General features: G+C 38.8%; 1 annotated feature.

The window, feature by feature from the left end:
• Positions 559-1,208: an enhancer, noted in NCBI's record as "OCT4-NANOG hESC enhancer chr9:27771740-27772389 (GRCh37/hg19 assembly coordinates)". NCBI's record gives its function as "activates a minimal SCP1, AML or CMV promoter by ChIP-STARR-seq in naive H9 embryonic stem cells {active_cell/tissue: H9 hESC(naive)}" and the evidence as "EXISTENCE:reporter gene assay evidence [ECO:0000049][PMID:30033119]".

Below are 17,689 nucleotides of genomic sequence, written 5' to 3' on the forward strand. Positions count from 1 at the left end.
TGCTTTCACTTTATGGACTTGTCCTGAATTCTTTCTTGTACAAGATCCAAGAACCCTCTCTTGGGGTGTGGATCGGGACCTCTTTCCGGTAACAGTGAAATTAATAATCACTGGGACAGTTCTATTATTCTTAATATGGATGAAACTAACATTCTTCTTTAGTGTTATTTCCCATCTATTGATGTTCTGAAGACAGCAGGGAATGATTCACTTAACATTGTGTAACACATAGAAATTAATTCTTAAATGCAAATAATCTTCATAGTTTCTTTATGTGTGTTGGTATTATATCATTTATAAAACAATTTCCATTAGGTTGAAAATATTTTGTCCTTAGAATTAATAGATAGGAATACCTACCTTCATTCATATGCTATTTTCTTGTGCTCTATTCTCAGGAGTGGCATGTGTAGGTTAAAGGGCATTACAAATTGTCCAGCTCTTGCAATTTTACAGCTAAAGTCCATAGTAAATGGCTTCTAAGTTTCTAGAAGTGAGTTCATTAAACTTGTGAATAACACCACAGCACACATGCACAGAAATTAGAATAGTATGCATTTAGTGGATTTTTGTATTCACTTTCAGTGAATGGAATTGTCTGATTAGACAATTCTCAGATAATTATTTTTAATTTTATCTACCTAGAGAGCTGTATCCCCTTACCAGTTCTGTGACGTGGCTGGGCTGGTTTCATATACATTCTTTCTCATTCACATTCTCTCTCTCTCTTTGTTTTCCTATTTAGTTGTTTGCTTAGTCACAAGTCTCCAATAGTGTAATTTCCTGTTGGGTTCTCCAGCTGTGAGACACTCCCTGGATCTCCCCTTCCCCCCATCCTCCAGCTGTCTCTATGGGCAACATCCAACTACTGATTTTAACACATTTGGCTAGCATTTAGCAGGGGCCAGGGACTCCTGTTAACTTCTAAGATGTGTTTCTGATGCAAAGACACATTTTGCTCCTAATTAAGCCTTTCACTAAAGAGAAGAATAAAAAGGTATAGGAGGTTTGAGATTTTAAGCAGCCGTCATTCCAGAAAAGGGCAGGAAAAAAAATCAAATAAGTAATCCAAGAGTTCAAAGGAACCTGAACCCCACAGTGCTGTGTCTCATGAGTTGAAGGCTCACATTTTCTTAGCTTCACTCAGGCTGGGCTCTCTACTGGGAAACTGCAGAAATACCTGTCAGGCAAGAACTCCTGAAGTGGGCAACACAAGCAATTCCTTTCATGAGGCACCGATTTTCATGTGTTCTAGTGTCCTGGAGGTATGTTATCAGTTTTGAAACATTCGCAACATGCAATAGCAAGAAAGAGACCCTTTGTTAGGTCCATTCAAGGAGGAAAATTGAGATGCAGCTGGGAGAAGCAGGAAACATCCAGTCAGCAAGATGGCAAGAAGAATTTATATCAGGTGGCAGACTGTGAACATGTTTACTTTAAGACAGACCCAGTGGTGCTATAAGCACCTTGCTATAAGGCAAGATGTAAATGATGTAAATTATTTTTAAAAAGTAAGTGTCAGCCCTGATTTTGTCTCAAGATCGTGTCCTATAAACGTTGATGCTCAGTAAAAGTACTCTGAATGAATGAGAGTCACCAGACAAATGAGTGATACAGAGTAAGCCCTCAAAACATTTTTTCCTGACTTTCTTGATGGCTACTTTATAGCATTTCTAACTTGGCATACAAGGAGGATAATAATATGCATAGTAATAGAACAGTTATGCCTTATCCTGGTTGTGATGCCATCTATAGCAGGATTACAGAAAATCCATTATTCCTGGTAAACTAGTTCATCCCTGATCATAACATGTCTATGAGAGCCAAAAGAAGCCCTTGGAGTTATGTGATTCCTGGTAAAATCTACCACACTTTACTTCCAGCTCCACAGCCTCTCCTCCAGTCCACAAGTGTGTTAGTTCGTGTTCTTTTGGAAGCAGATGCCAAGACAGAGTTAGAAGTGTAAGATGTTTATTATGGAAAGTGCCTATGGAAAGTAATAGGGAAAGGGGGCAGCTGTAGATAAGAAAAACCTCTGACCCAGAAATACTTTTGACATCTGTGAAAAGAGGGGGAGATGGAAAGAGGATTTGGTAGGAAGAGCCTCAGATCATAGGGCAGCCCTAAAAAAGTCTTGACTGGGCCAATAGGGCGGACCATAGCAAAGAGGAGTCTTACTTTGGGCAGGAATGGCCTGTTTTTAGTACTCTCCCATGCTCAGTCTGGCTGGGAGTAGCCCAGGAAGAATGTGGCCTTGGGGTGAGCACAGTGGTGGATTTTGCTAAGGTGAGGCAGTGGGAGGCTGTCAGCTAAACACAATGTTCTGTTTTGCAAGGATGTCAATGCAGAGCACTCCTATGCTACCACACCATGAGCATCCATCACTTCAATACCAACTATGGCACACTATTCCTAAGAAGGACACTGCTGTATTGACAGAACCAACTTTCCACTTTCCCCTGGGAGACCATCAGACCTAATCTTAACCATGCCTTACATTCCTGTTTACCTCATTCAACATCAAAAGGTCAAGACTCCCTGGTCATCTCTTATTTTCCAAAACATAAAACCCACATGGTATTCCAAATTTCCCAATGGCACTCTACCTTATACCACTCCAAACTCACTGCAGCCCTTCTGCTTGCTCTCTTGAACTCTTAGATTGTCACGAGCAAAACTGTCCACATCCTCAACTCTTCTCTGAATGTTCTCTTCATCTAGTTCTAACTATAAACCTGGCTCACACTAAGGACTCTACTTCCTTCTTAAGGGATGGTTATTTTTTGTCCCATATGTATGTAGTATGTATATAAATAATATGAAGGAGAATAAAGTGTCCTGTTTAGTCCTATTCCTACTTCCAATACATTTCCCTATCTTCCTTTCTCAAAAAGCATCTCCTTTAAATAACCCATTAGAATATACACTCTGCAAACTTCCTCATTGTAATCATCTTTCAACCTCTTTATCACTCCTCATTCATTGGAGATGTAGCACTAACTTCCTTTTTACAGCTAGTTCTGTTATTAATTTGGCAACTTTATCATTTATGTAGCTTGTCTATCAAATACTCTGGCTTCTCCAATGGATGAATTGTTCCTGTTGCTAACGAAAGACAACATCTTTAGTTGCCACTGGATCATTTTCCCTCTCATCTACTCGGGAAATGACTCTTAAAATTGTTGCATGTCTTCAGTATTCCACATGTGCCCAATTACCACTGGATTATTCCAATCAGCTGTTATATTTCTCACCTTAATTACATAAGCAGTAATATTAAAATAAATATTTCCCATCCTAAGATAAAATCCCTGCCTTGACTCACATTTTTCCTTTCATCCTATTTCTCTGCTCCCCTCTAAAGCAAAATATCTCATTTATGTCTTTATGTCCTCACTTCCTTTCATCTCCACAGCCCATCCAATTAGACTTTCATCTCCTGTGCTTCCCTACTCCCTAATACTGACTTTTCAAGGTCACCAAGAATCTCCATGTTGCCAGATTCATTGATGACTTCCTTCTCATCTTGCCGAGCTCTTTAGAAAATTTTGCCCAGTTTACTATCCTCTTATCTTTGCAATATTTTCTTCTCTCAGGTTCATAAGCGCTGTACTTATTGGCTCTTCCTGCCTACTCACCTTTGCTGGCTCCTTACCCCGCTTTTTGGTCTTTAAGCGTTACTATGCCTTGGGGTTCAGCTCTTGGCTCTCATATTTCTCAAATCACTCTGACTTCATGGCTGTTCTCATCTAGTTCCAAGACTTTTTTTTTTTTTGAGACAGAGGGAGTCTCACTCTGTCATCCAGGCTGGAGTGCAATGGCACAATCTCAGCTCACTGCAAGCTCCGCCTCCTCGGTTCAAGCAATTCTCCTGCCTCAGCCTCCTGAGTATCTGGGACTACAGACACTCACCACCACGCCCGGCTAATTTTTGTATTTTTAGTAGAGATGGGGTTTTACCATATTGGCCAGACTGGTGTCGAACTCTTGACCTCAAGTGATCCACCCGCCTCAGCCTTCCAAAGTGCTGGGATTACAGGCATGAGCCACCATGCCCGGCCTTAGTTCCAAGACTTTAATACCCTCTATATATCTTAAGCTTGGACTCTCCACTGATTATCACACTCTACATACAGCTGCCTAAGGACAACTTCACTAAATGCAGCTGAAACTTACCATAGCCAAACAGCATCTTTGCTTTTTCTTCACCCTAACTTTTGTGCATACATGTGCCCATGCACACACAAACATGCATGCACAAACCCCACCCCCGCCCAACCCCACACACATGCTTCCTGCATTTTTTCTCCACTTAGGAAATGGCTACATCTCTCCAGTTGCCTAGGTCCCAGACCTAGGAGTCACGCTTAATTCCCCTCTTTTCTTCACAAACCACATTCTCATACTCTGTTGGTAAATCCTGTTGGTTCAACTTTCAAATTATATCCTAAATCTGACCCTTTCTAGCTGTCGCCACTGCTAGCATCTAGCACTGCTAAGGGACAGCATCATTTGTCTCCTGGACGACTGCAGAGATCCTATGTCCTCACATAGAATCTTTAATATTCTTCCCCTTCTCACACTTTTACCCTCATTACTACTTATTCTCCACATAACAGACAGTAATTTTGTAGAAATCATATCACTTTATGGCCCAACAGGGATCACTGTAATCATGCCAAATAAATTATTTCAATCTAGTTGAAGGAGAATAATATTACATTTAACAAAAGTTTACACTGATCTTTTCATAATTCCTTTCTTCTCGTATATTAGCACAATGCATATTCTGTCCCTGAAGCCCCAGAAGACCTTTTCCACTGCCAAACCCGTTCGACCTTCACCTGTCTGATTCTTCTTTCACCTCCCAGACTCCTGTCAAGAAATACCAACACTGCCATTTGTGTAAGAAAAGAAAAAGAGCTCTATGTATGTACACCCGTGTATGTTTGTATGCTTGTTTATGTGTAGCTTTTTCGCTATACTCCTACCAGGCTTTGATGAGGGGAACTGGGAAGTCATCAGAGAAGGGTTGAAGGAATCTTAATTTTCACTGTATGCCTTTTTAAAAAACCTTAAAAATATTTTCCTTGTCCATATAACTCTTATTCATATAAGTAGGTAATTAAATCAATGATAGGTAAATACAAGACATTAAAACTAAAAAGGAAATACCTCCTTCTCTAAATCTAGTAAGAGTCTCCCAAGCAATGTTAGTTTTGGGATCATTTGTACCTCACTGTACATAGTGTACATAGCTTTCACTTCTTTGTGGCATCTGCCAGTCTGTTTCCTAAATTATTTTTATGAGTAAGTTTTCTTCTATTGGACTTTTAGCTCTTATATCCCCATAGTGTAGCATGGTAACTGACACATAATAGGAGACAATATACATGTGACGAATAATTAAATATACAATTTGGCAAACAAATATCTTCTATTGTAGAAAGAACATAATCAGTTAGCATGATATTGAATAGGTTCCAAAAAAACAAAAACAGTACATTTAAGATCAGTCACCAAGGGCAGCAAAGGTTGCCATCTTGTCAATAGTCAATTAAAAGAATTGATAAAGGAAAAGTACTCATGATGCCTAATCAAAGGTATTGTAGCCAGGTCTACCTAATGAGAAAGTCCCAAGGTTTGTCATATAGACTTTGGCTAGAAAGAAATTAACTTTTTTGGCCTTTGAAATTAAAATATCTGAATCTGCTGACTTATAACAGTTATTTTCTTAAATTCTGTGGCTTCGTTGATAACTTCTATCTTTTAACTTTTTGGCCTTTGAAATTAAAATATATGAATCTGCTGACTTATAATAGTTATTTTCTTAAATTCTGTGGCTTCATTGGTAATTTCTATCTTGGTTTTGGGTAACAACAAACCAGAAAACAAAAACCATATGTTTGAAACAACCTTTCATTTCAAAATTATTGTTAAACTATAGACTCATTTTCCATTCATCTTTTAAAAACAATGTCTGCCATATGTAGTAAATAGTATTTTAATCTTTTCTGTAGAAGTGTGAGTGGTGTGCACACTAAGGGGTAATTCTGTAAGAATAGACTTTTAAATTCAATTCAGCACTTTCATCGAGAATGGAGAAGCTTAAAAATTAAGCCAGCAGGCATCCAAAGCCTGAGAGAACACTACTGGATGCATTCTTAATTAGAACCAATAAAGTTTGTTTTTAGGGAGAGCTTTCCCACAGAAAGCTCAATGGCAAAACTCAGAAGAAGTAAACAAATTAAATTCTTTATATTAACTGCTTGACACCCTGCTTCTTACAGAGTTATTTAGTCCAACATGACAGTTGACAAAATTTCACTTTGAAAACTCCAAATAACCCTAAGATAAAGTACTCACTACTTACATATTTTCCCCAAATATAAAACAATCCATACTAATTTCAAGTCTTTCTAAGATACTAGCAGAAAAGAAAATGTTGGAGCAAGAATGATGAGTGGAATGATGTATGAAGGCTTAAGAATCTTGGATTTTGAGTTCATCACTAAGGTTTTTTTTAAACTCATTAGGCATATTTATGTTATGACTTGGTATATTTAAATGTCATACTGTGTTTATGTAAGCATTAAAATAAGATCAGGAAGAATTAAAGAATAGAACCAGATTGTCAACAGTGAATGTATCTGGATGGTGGGATTGCAAATAGGGAGAGGAAACATTTTTTTTTAAATAAAAGGAATAGCTAACTTTAATTAGCTAATTATAGCTAATTGTTATCCATATTATTTTTTAAGCTTGTATAGAATACTTGATATTTTGATGGATATATTAGCTTGCGGTAATCATTTTGCAATATATACAGATATCAAAACATCACATTGTACACCCTAAATGTATAGTTTTTATTTGTTAATTATACATCAATAAAGCTGAAAAAAAAGATATGCATCTTTTTCAGGTCTCTAAATCTGCATTTAAATAAAAAAAATCCCTTGGTTCCAGTAGAAAGCAGCTTGACTTATGTCGCCACAGTGGAATCACAATCTCTCACTTGATTCTCAGGCCTGAGACTGTTCACTGACCAATATTCTCAAATGATAAGGGCAGATACTCTCGAGAGTGGACTGCAAAGCTGCCACATATTTATGGTCTATATTTTCCTCCTAAGCTTACTGATATGATTTGGTTGTGTCCCCACCCAAATCTCATCTTGCATTGTAGCTCCCACAATTCCCAAGTATCATGGGAGGTAATTGAATAATGGGGCCAGTCTTTCCCATGCTGTTCTCGTGACAGTAAATACGTCTCATGAGATCTGAAGATTTTATAAAGGGGAGTTCCCCTGCACAAGCTCTCTCTTGCCTGTTGCAATGTGAGATGTCCCTTGCTCTTACACCATGATTGTGAGGCCTCCTCAACCATGTGGAACTGTGAGTCAATTAAACCCCTTTCCTTTATAAATTACTCAGTCTCTGCTATGTCTTTATTAGCAGAGAGAGAACAGACTAACACACTTACCCAAAGGAAGTGATATGATGAATTTCGTTCATATGTCTCTTGAGGGCCAAGTTTGCATATGCTTGCCCTGTTTCCTCTTCAGTGATGTTGCAATGGCAGCCTGATATTGGCCATGGAAAGTGTTTATATGAAAGAAATTGGTGAATGCTACAAATAAACACTTTTTTATCTCTTTTTGTCCTATTATCTTTCTTTTTTTAAAATTCTACTTTACACTCTGGGATACATGTGCAGAATGTGCAGGTTTGTTAAATAGGTATACGTGTGCCACGGTGGTGTTTGCTGCACCCATCAACATGTCATCTACATTAGGTATTTCTCCTAATGCTCTCCCTCCCCTAGCCCCCACCCCCTGACAGGCCCTGGTGTATGATGTCCCCCTCCATTTGTCCATGTATTCTCATTGTTCAACTCCCACTTATGAGAGGAAACATGCGGTGCTTGGTTTTCTGTTCCTGTGTTAGTTTGCTGAGAATGATAGTTTCCAGCTTCGTCCATGTCCCTGCAAAGGACATGAACTCATCCTTTTTTATGGCTGCATAGTATTCCATGGTGTATATGCGCCACATTTTCTTTATCCAGTCTATCATTGATGGGCATTTGAATTGGTTCCAAGTCTTTGCTGTTGTGAACAGTGCTGCAATAAACATATGTGTGCATGTGTCTTTATAGTAGAATGATTTATAATTCTTTGGGTATATAAACGGTTATGGGATTGTTGGGTCAAATGGTATTTCTGGTTCTGGATCCTTGAGGAATCGCCACACTGTCTTCCACAATGGTTGAACTAATTTACACTCTCACCAACAGTGCAAAAGTGTTCCTATTTCTCCACATCCTCTTCAGCATCTATTGTTTCCTGACTTTTTAATGATCACCATTCTAACTGGCATGAGATGGTATCTCATTGTGGTTTTGATTTGCATTTCTCTAATGAATAGTGATGAGCTTCTTTTCATACGTTTGTTGGCCACATAAATGTCTTCTTTTGAGAAGTGTTTCTTCATATCCTTTGCCCATTTTTGATGGGGTTGTTGTTGTCTTGTAAATTTGTTTAAGTTCTTTGTAGATTCTGGATATTAGCCTTTTGTCAGATGGATAGATTGCAAAACATTTCTCCCATTCTGTAGGTTGCCTGTTCACTCTGATAATAGTTCCTTTTGCTGTGCAGAAGCTCTTTAGTTTAATTAGATCCTGTTTGTCAATTTGGGCTTTTGTTGCCCTTGCTTTTGGTGTTTTAGTCATGACGTCTTTGCCTATGCCTATGTTCTGAATGGTACTGCCTATGTTTTCTTCTAGGGTTTTTTTTATGGTTTTAGGTCTTATGTTTAAGTGTTTAATCCATCTTGAGTTAATTTTTATATAAGGTGTAAGGAAGGGGTCCAGTTTTAGTTTTCTGCATATGGCTAGCCAGTTTTCCCAGCACCATTTATTAAATAGGGAATTCTTTCCCCATTGTTTGTTTTTGTCAGGTTTGTAGACAATTAGATGGTTGTAGATGTGTGGCATTATTTCTGAGGCCTCTGTTCTGTTCCATTGGTCTATATACTTGTTTTTGTATCAGTACCATGCCGTTTTGGTTACTGTAGCCTTGTAGTATAGTTTGAAGTCAGGTAGTTTGATGACTCCAGCTTTCATCTTTTTGCTTAGGATTTTCTTGGCTATATGTGCTCTTTTTTGGTTCCATATAAAATTTAAAGTAGTTTTTTCTAATTCTGTGAAGAAAGTCAATGGTAGCTTGATGGGGATAGCAATGAATCTATAAATTACTTTGGGCAGTATAGCCATTTCCACAATATTGACTCTTCCTATTCATGAGCATGGAATTTTTTTTTAGAAGGTTTTTTAAATTATTATACTTTAAGTTCTGGGGTACATGTGCAGAATGTGCAGTTTTGTTACATAGGTATACACATGCCATCGTGGTTTGCTGCACCCATCAACTCATCATCTACATTAGGTAATTCTCCTAATGTTATCCCTCCCCTAGCCCCCCACCCCCTGACAGTCCCCAGTGTGATGTTCCCTTCCCTTTGTCCATGCGTTCTCATTGTTCAACTCCCACTTATGAGTGAGAACATGTGGTATTTGGTTTTCTTGTGTTAGTTTGCCGAGAATGATGGTTTCCACCTTCATCCATGTCCCTGCAAAGGTCATGAACTCATCCTTTTTTATGGTGAGTATGGAATGTTTTTCCATGTGTTTGTGTCCTTTCTTATTTCCTTGAGCAGTGGTTTGTAGTTCTACTTGAAGAAGTCCTTCACATCCCCTGTAAGTTGAATTCCTAGGTATTTTATTCTCTTTGTAGCAATTGTGAATAGGAGTCCACTCATGATTTGGCTCTCTGTTTGTCTGTTATTGGTGTATAGGAATGCTTGTAATTTCTGCACATTGATTTTGTATCCTGAGACTTTGCTGAAGTTGCTTATGAGCTTGAGGAAATTTTGGGCTGAGACGATGGGGTTTTCTAAATATACAATCATGTCATCTGCAAACAGAGACAATTTGACTTCCTCTCTTCCTATTTGAATACACTTTATTTCTTTCTCTTGCCTGATTGCCCTGGCCAGAAATTCCAATACTATGTTGAATAGGAGTGGTGAGAGAGGGCATCCTTGTCTTGTGCCCATTTTCAAAGGGAATGCTTCCAGCTTTTGCCCATTCAGTATGATATTGGCTGTGGGTGTGTCATAAATAGCTCTTATTATTTTGAGATACGTTCCATCAATAGCTAGTTTAATGAGAGTTTTATCAAGAAGGGAGTTGAATTTTATTGAAGGCCTTTTCTGCATCTATTGAGATAATCATGTGGTTTTTGGCATTGGTTCTGTTTATGTGATGGATTACGTTATTGATCTGTGTATGTTGAACAAGCTTTCACATCCCTGGGATGAAGCCAATTTGATCGTGGTGGATAAGGTTTTTGATGTGCTGCTCGATTCGGTTTGCCAGTATTTTATTGAGGATTTTCGCATCGATGTTCATCAGGGATATTTGCCTGAAATTTTCTTTTTTATGTTGTGTCTCTGCCCGGTTTTGGTATCAGGATGATGCTGGCCTCATAGAATGAGTTAGGGAGGATTCCCTCTTTTTCTATTAATTGGAATAGTTTTAGAAGGAATGGTACCAGCTCCTCTTTGTACCTCTGGTAGAATTCGGATGTGAATCCATCTGGTCCTGCGCTTTTTTTTTGGTTGGTAGGCTATATATTACTGCCTCAATTTCAGAACTTTTTATTGGTCTATTCAGGGATTCAACTTCTTCCTAGTTTAGTCTTGGGAGGGTGTATGCGTCTAGGAATTTATCATTTTTTTTCTAGATTTTCTAGTTTATTTGTGTAGAGGTGTTTATAGTATTCTCTGATGGTAGTTTGTATTGCTGTGGACTCAGTGGTGATCTCCCCTTTATCATTTTTTATGGTGTCTATTTGATTCTTCTCTCTTTTCCTCTTTATTAATCTGGCTAGTGGTCTGTTTGGTTAATCTTTTCAAAAATCCAGCTCCTGGATTCATTGATTTTTTTTGAAGGGTTTTTCGTGTCTCTATCTCCTTCAGTTCTGCTGAAGCAGAACTGAAGTTTCTTGCCTTCTGCTAGCTTTTGAATTTATTTGCTCTTGCTTCTCTAGTTCTTTTAATTTTGATGTTACGGTGTTGATTTTAGATCTTTCCTGCTTTCTCCTGTGGGCATTTAGTGCTATGTTTCCCTCTTAACATTGCTTTAGCTGTGTCCCAGAGATTATGGTATGTTGTGTCTTTGTTTTGATTGGTTTTAAAGAACTTCTTGATTTCTGCTTTAATTTTGTTATTTACCCAGTAGTCATTCAGAATCAGGTTGTTCAGTTTCCCTGTAGTTTTGCGGTTTTGAGTGAGTTTCTTAATACTGAGTTCTAATTTGATTGCACTGTGGTCTGAGAGACTGTTATGATTTCTGTTCTTTTGCATTAGCTGAGGAGTGTTTTACTTCCAATTATGTGGCCAATTTTAGAATAAGTGCGATGTGGTGCTGAGAAGAGTGTATATCCCATTGATTTTGGGTGGAGAGTTCTGTAGATGTCTGTTAGGTCTGCTTGGTCCAGAGCTGAGTTGAAGTCCTGAATATCCTTGTTAATTTTCTGTCTCATTGATGTAATATTGACAGTGGGGTGTTAAAGTCTCCCACTATTACTGTGTGGGAATCTACATCTCTTTGTAGGTCTCTAAGAATTTGCTTTATAAATCTGGGTGCTCTTGTATTGGGTTATTATATATTTAGGATAGCTAGCTCTTTTTGTTGCATTGATCCCTTTACCATTATGGAATTCTCTTTATCTTTTTTGATCTTTGTTGGTTTAAAGTCTGTTTTATCAGAGACAAGGAAGGCACCACTTCCATTTTTTTTTCTTTGCTTTCCATTTGCTTGTTAAATATTCCTCTATCATTTTGAGTCTATGTGTGTCTTTGCACATGAGATGGGTCTCCTGAATACAGTATGGCGATGGGTCTTGACTCTATCCAATTTGCCAGTCTGTGTCTTTTAATTTGGGAATTTAGCCCATTTACAGTTAAGGTTAGTATTGTTATATGTGAATTTAGCCTGTCATTATGATGCTAGCTGGTTATTTTGCCCATTAGTTGATGCAGTTTCTTCATAGTGTCGATGGTCTTTACAATTTAGTGTGTTTTTGCAGTAGCTGGTACTGGTTTTTCCTTTCCATGTTTAGTGCTTCCTTCAGGATCTCTTGTAAGGCAGCCCTGGTAGTGACAAAATCCCTCAGTATTTGCTTGTCTGTAAAGGATTTTATTTCTCTTTCACTTATGATGCTTAGCTTGGCTGGACATGAAATTCTGGCTTGAAAATTCTTTTCTTTAAGACTGTTGAATATTGGCCCCCACTGTCTTCTGGCTTGTAGGGTTTCTGCAAGGATATCTGCTGTTAGTCTGATGGGCTTCCCTTTGTGGGTAACCCGACCTTTCTCTCTGGCTGCCCTTAATATTTTTCCCTTCATTTCAACCTTGATGATTCTGACGATTATGTGTCTTGGGGTTGCTCTTGAGGAGTATCTTTGCGGTATTCTCGGTATTACCTGAACTTGAATGTTGGCCTGTCTTGCTAGGTTGGGGAAGTTCTCCTGTATAATATCCTGAAGAGTGTTTTCTGACTTGGTTCCATTCCCCCTGTCACTTTCAGGTACACCAATCAAATGTAGGTTTGGTCTTTTCACATAGTCCCATATTTCTTGGAGGTTTTATTCATTCCTTTTCATTCTTTTTTCTCTAATCTTCACTATACACTTTATTTCATTAACTGGATCTTCAATCTCTGATATCCTTTCTTCCACTTCATCAGTTTGGCTATTGATACTTGTGTATGCTTCACGAAGTTCTCGTGCTGTGTTTTTCAGCTCCATCAGGTCATTTATGTTCTTCTCTAAACTGGTTATTCTAGTTAGCAATTCCTCTAATCTTTTTTCAACGTTCTTATCTTCCTTGCATTGGGTTAGAACATGTTCCTTTAGCTCAGAGGAGCTTGTTATTACCCACCATCTGAAGCCTACTTCTGTCAATTCATCAAACTCATTCTCCATCCAGTTTTGTTTCCTTGCTGGCAAGGAGTTGTGATCCTTTGAAGGAGAAGAGGTGTTCTGGTTTTTGGAATTTTCAGCCTTTTTGCCCTGGCTTTTCCTCATCTTTGTGGATTTATCTACCTTTGGTTTTTTATGTTGGTGACCTTTGGGTGGGGTTTCTGTGTGGATGTCCTTTTTGTTGATGTTGATGATATTTCTTTCTGTTTGTTAATTTTCGTTCTAACAAGCCCCTCTGCTGCAGGTCTGCTGGAGTTTGCTGGAGGTTCACTCCAGACCCTGTTTGTCTGGGTATCACTAGCAGAGGCTGCAGAACAGCAAAGATTGCTGCCTGTTCCTTCCTCTGGAAGCTTCATCCCAGATGGGCACCTGCCAGATGCCAGCTGGAGTTCTCCTGTATGAGGTGTCTGTCGACTCCTGCTGGGAGGTGTCTCCCAGTCAGGAGGCATTGGGATCAGGGACCCAACTGAGGGGGTCGTCTATCCCTTAGCAGAGCTTAGGCACTATGCTGGGAGATCCGCCGCTCTCTTCAAAGTCGGCAGGCAGGAATGTTTAAGTCTGCTGAACCTGTGCCCACAGGCGCCCCTCTCGCCAGGTGCTCTGTCCCAGGGAGATGGGAGTTTATCTATAAGCCCCTGACTGGGGCTGCGGCCTTTCTTTCAGAGATGCCCTGCCCAGAAAGGAGGAATCTAGAGAGGCAGTCTGGCTACAGCAGCTTTGCTGAACTGTGGTGGGCTCCACCCAGTTTGAACTTCCTAGAGGCTTTGTTTATACTGTGAAGGGAAAACCACCTACTCAAGCCTCAGTAATGGTGGATGCCACTCCACCCACCAAGTTTGAGCATGACTTCAGACTGCTGTGCTGGTAGTGAGTGGATCTTAGCTTGATGGGCTCCGTGGGGGTGGAATTTGCTGAGCTAGACCACTTGGCTCCCTGGCTTCAGCTCTGTTTCCAGGGGAGTGAGCGGTTCTGTCTTACTGGCATTCCAGGGGCCAGTCAGGTATGAAAAGAAACTCCTGCAGCTAGCTCGCTGTCTGCTCATACAGCTGCCAAGTTTTGTACTTGAAACCCAGGCCCCTGGTGGTGTAGGCACCTGAGGGAATCTCCTGGTTTGCGGGTTGTGAAGACCATGGGAAAAGAGTAGTATCTGGGCCACAGTGCACCGTTCCTCAAGGCACAGTCCCTCACGGCTTCTCTTGGCCAGGGGAGGGAGTTCCCCAACCCCTTGGGCTTCCCAGGTGAGGCAACACCCCACCCTGCTTTGGCTCACCCTCTGTGGGCTGCACCCACTGTCTAACCATTCCAAGTGAGATGAGTCAGGTACCTCAGTTGGAAATGCAGAAATCACCCACTTTCTGTGTTGATCTTGCTGAGAGCTGCAGACCACAGCTGTTCCTATTCAGCCATCTTGCCAGCTACCCCATGTCTTTTTATCTTTCATTCATTCTTTCTTTCCTTTCTCTATTATTCCTTCATTTATTTCTTGCTTTATTGTACCTTTTTAACATATTTTAAAGCAATAGCTGGTTAAACATTTTTCAGAATATTAGTGCTCAAAGGGAACTGTGGCCTGTTCCCTTGAAAAGTGTGAATTAAGTAAAAGCAAGTATCTAGATCAATTTTTTTGAAAACTGGAAGCTGGCTATGAGCAAACACTAATACAAAAATCCCCTGTGGTTTACAAATCAAAGTGGTGGCTTTGGAGTCAAGTGATGAATGAATCATTTCCTTTACTCTATCTCACAAAGAATACAGAGGAATCTTAAGTCTACTGTTATAGTATTTCCTAATATCTGAAATGCATATATAAAGAAGACATAGTTGGAAATTAGCACAACACACACATTTGTTTAATGGTCTGTGAATGAGGGCCATTACAGAGGGAAATGCCAAGGAATATGTCCTGACAGTGGTCCTGTATATCAAGATATTAAAACAAAAGCAGTAATATAAATCTGGCATAATCAGAGAGATTAGTGACAACAAAGCCTTTAAATAATCAAGTGCTGTCATTTCTATTACATATTTACATAACATATGTTTTCTACTCTAAAGAAGAAAATTAGATCTTGAAATCTGAATGAAGGCTGGGAAAGGTAGTTGGAAGGAATAGATAAAAAAGGGTTCATTAATGGGTACAAAAATACAACTGGATAAAAGGAATAAGATCCAGTATTTGGTAGCAAAATAAGGAGACTCTAGCTAATAATAACATATTGTATATTTCAAAATACTTAGACAATCTGGAATGCTCTCAACACAAAGAAATGACAAATGTCCAATGTGAGGGTATCCCAGTCACTACAAACTGATCATTTCATGTAGTATGCTCATATCAAAATATCACATGTATGCTATAATAGGCACAACTATTATATATCCAAAACATTTTTAATAACATAAATTTTTTAAAAGCTACAAAAAGTTACAGAATATTCACAACCACACGTGACCAAAAAATACTGTCTTAAAAATCGTTCAGAGTTATTACTAAGCAAACAAACAATTACAACCCATAGCAAAAACAAAGAACCCTCCCCTCCAAAAAAAAGAAAAATCCTGGGAAAAATAAAGGATCTTGTTGACTGAGTTATCACATCGCAATATGGAAAATGTCTGGTTTTCAATGATTTTTTTTCATTTTTGTAATAATTCCATTGATATGTAATTCATATACTACACAGTTCACTCATTTAAACTGCACAATTCAATGTATTTTAGTATGTTTGTGGATGTGTGCAACCAACACCACAGTTCATTTTAAAGCATTTTCATCACCTCACCAAACATCTCCAGACCCTTTAGCTATCACACCCTATCTTCTATACCACCAACCCTAAGACATCATTAATTTATACTTCCTTTCTCTGTAGATTTGCCTATTCTGGACATTTCATATAAATGGAGTGATATAATATGTGATAGGCAGTCTTTTGTGACAGGCTTCATTCACTTAGCATTATGTTTTCAAAGTTCATGCATGCTATAGCTATCAGTGCTTCATTATTTTTTATGGCCAAATAATATTCCATTGTATGACTATACCACAGTTTTTAAATCATTCATCTGTTGATAGGCATTTGGTTTGTTTTCAACTTTTGTCTGTCTATTATGAATAATGCTGCTATAGACATTCATGTATATGTTTTTATGTGGACATATATTTTAATATCTCTTGAGTATATATCTAAAACTAGAATTGCTGGGTCATGCGATTTCTATATATAACTATTTGAAGAGCTCCCCGACTGCTTTTCAAAGTGACTTCTCCTCTTGTTACTTTTTCTCAGCTTTAGTGAAATATAATTGAGAAAATTAAGAAGTTATAACTTAAAACAAAATGTTTTCTCATTGATTTGTTGGAAGATCTTTTTTCTGAAACTCACTGATGCCAAATATAGAAAGCAAACATACAGGTTCTGTTCACAGGGGATGGAACTTCTGGGAAGTGCTGAGTACTGCATTCCAAATATGGTGCCAATAAATAGCATTTAATATTTTCTGAGGCTACATTAGTGATTTGCATAATTCAGTAAACTGGTTACCAGAAGATTAAATTAATCTGAACATTTCTTTTTCTGACTCATACTGTGGAAATATTCCTAAGTCATAAAACATAAGTATGCTTACTAATTTCAATGTAAAATTTTGTAAACCCTTGAGTGATAATTCAGAATATTTTAGAATATTTTTAAGTTGATATGGGTTGGCTCTGTGTCTCCACCCAAATCTCACGTTGAATTGTTATCCCCAGTGTTGCAGGTGGGGATTGGTGGGAGGTGATTGGATCATGGGGGAAGTTTCTAATGGCTTAGCACCATCCTCCTACTGCTGTCTTGTGATAGAGTTCTCACAAGATCTGGTTGTTTCAAAGTATGTAGCACCTCTCCCTTTGCTCTCTTCCTCCTCCTGCTGGCCATGTAAAACAAGCTTGCTTCCCCTTCACCCTTCCACCAGGATCGTAAGTTTCCTGAGGCCTCCCCAGAAGCAGAAACCTGTACAGCCCATAGAACTATGAGCCAATCAAACCTCTTTTCTTTATAAATTAGCCAGTCTCAGGTATGTCTTTGTAGCAGTGTGAGAATAAACTAATACAGAAAATTGGTACCAGAGAAGGGAGCATTGTCAGAGATACCTAAAAATGTGGAAGTAACTTTGGCAATGGGTAAAGAGCAGAAGCTGGAACAGTTTGGAGGTCTCAGAAGAAGACAGGAAGATGAGGGAAAGTGTGGAACTTTCTAGAGACTTGTTGAATGGTTCTAACCAAAATGCTGACAGTTATATGGACCATGAAATCCAGGTTGAGGTGGTCTCAGATGGAGATAAGAGACTTTTGAGAACTGGGGTAAAGGTCACTCTTGCTATGCCTTAGCAAAGAGACTGGAGGCATTCTGCCTCTACCCTAGATATGTGTGGAGCTTTGAGCCAGAGATAAATGATTTAGGGTATCTGGTGGGAGACATTTCTAAGCAGAAAAGCATTCAAGGTGTTACCTGGCTGCCTTTAGCTGTGTCCTCTCATATGTGTATGCAAAGAGATTACCTGAAATTGGAACTTATATTTAAAACGGAAGCAGAGTATAGAAGTTTGGAAAATTCGAGCCTGACCATGTCATAGAAAAGAAAAACTTATTTTCTGGGGAGG

Source organism: Homo sapiens, chromosome 9, assembly GCF_000001405.40.
Source record: "Homo sapiens chromosome 9, GRCh38.p14 Primary Assembly".
Lineage (NCBI taxonomy): Eukaryota > Metazoa > Chordata > Mammalia > Primates > Hominidae > Homo > Homo sapiens.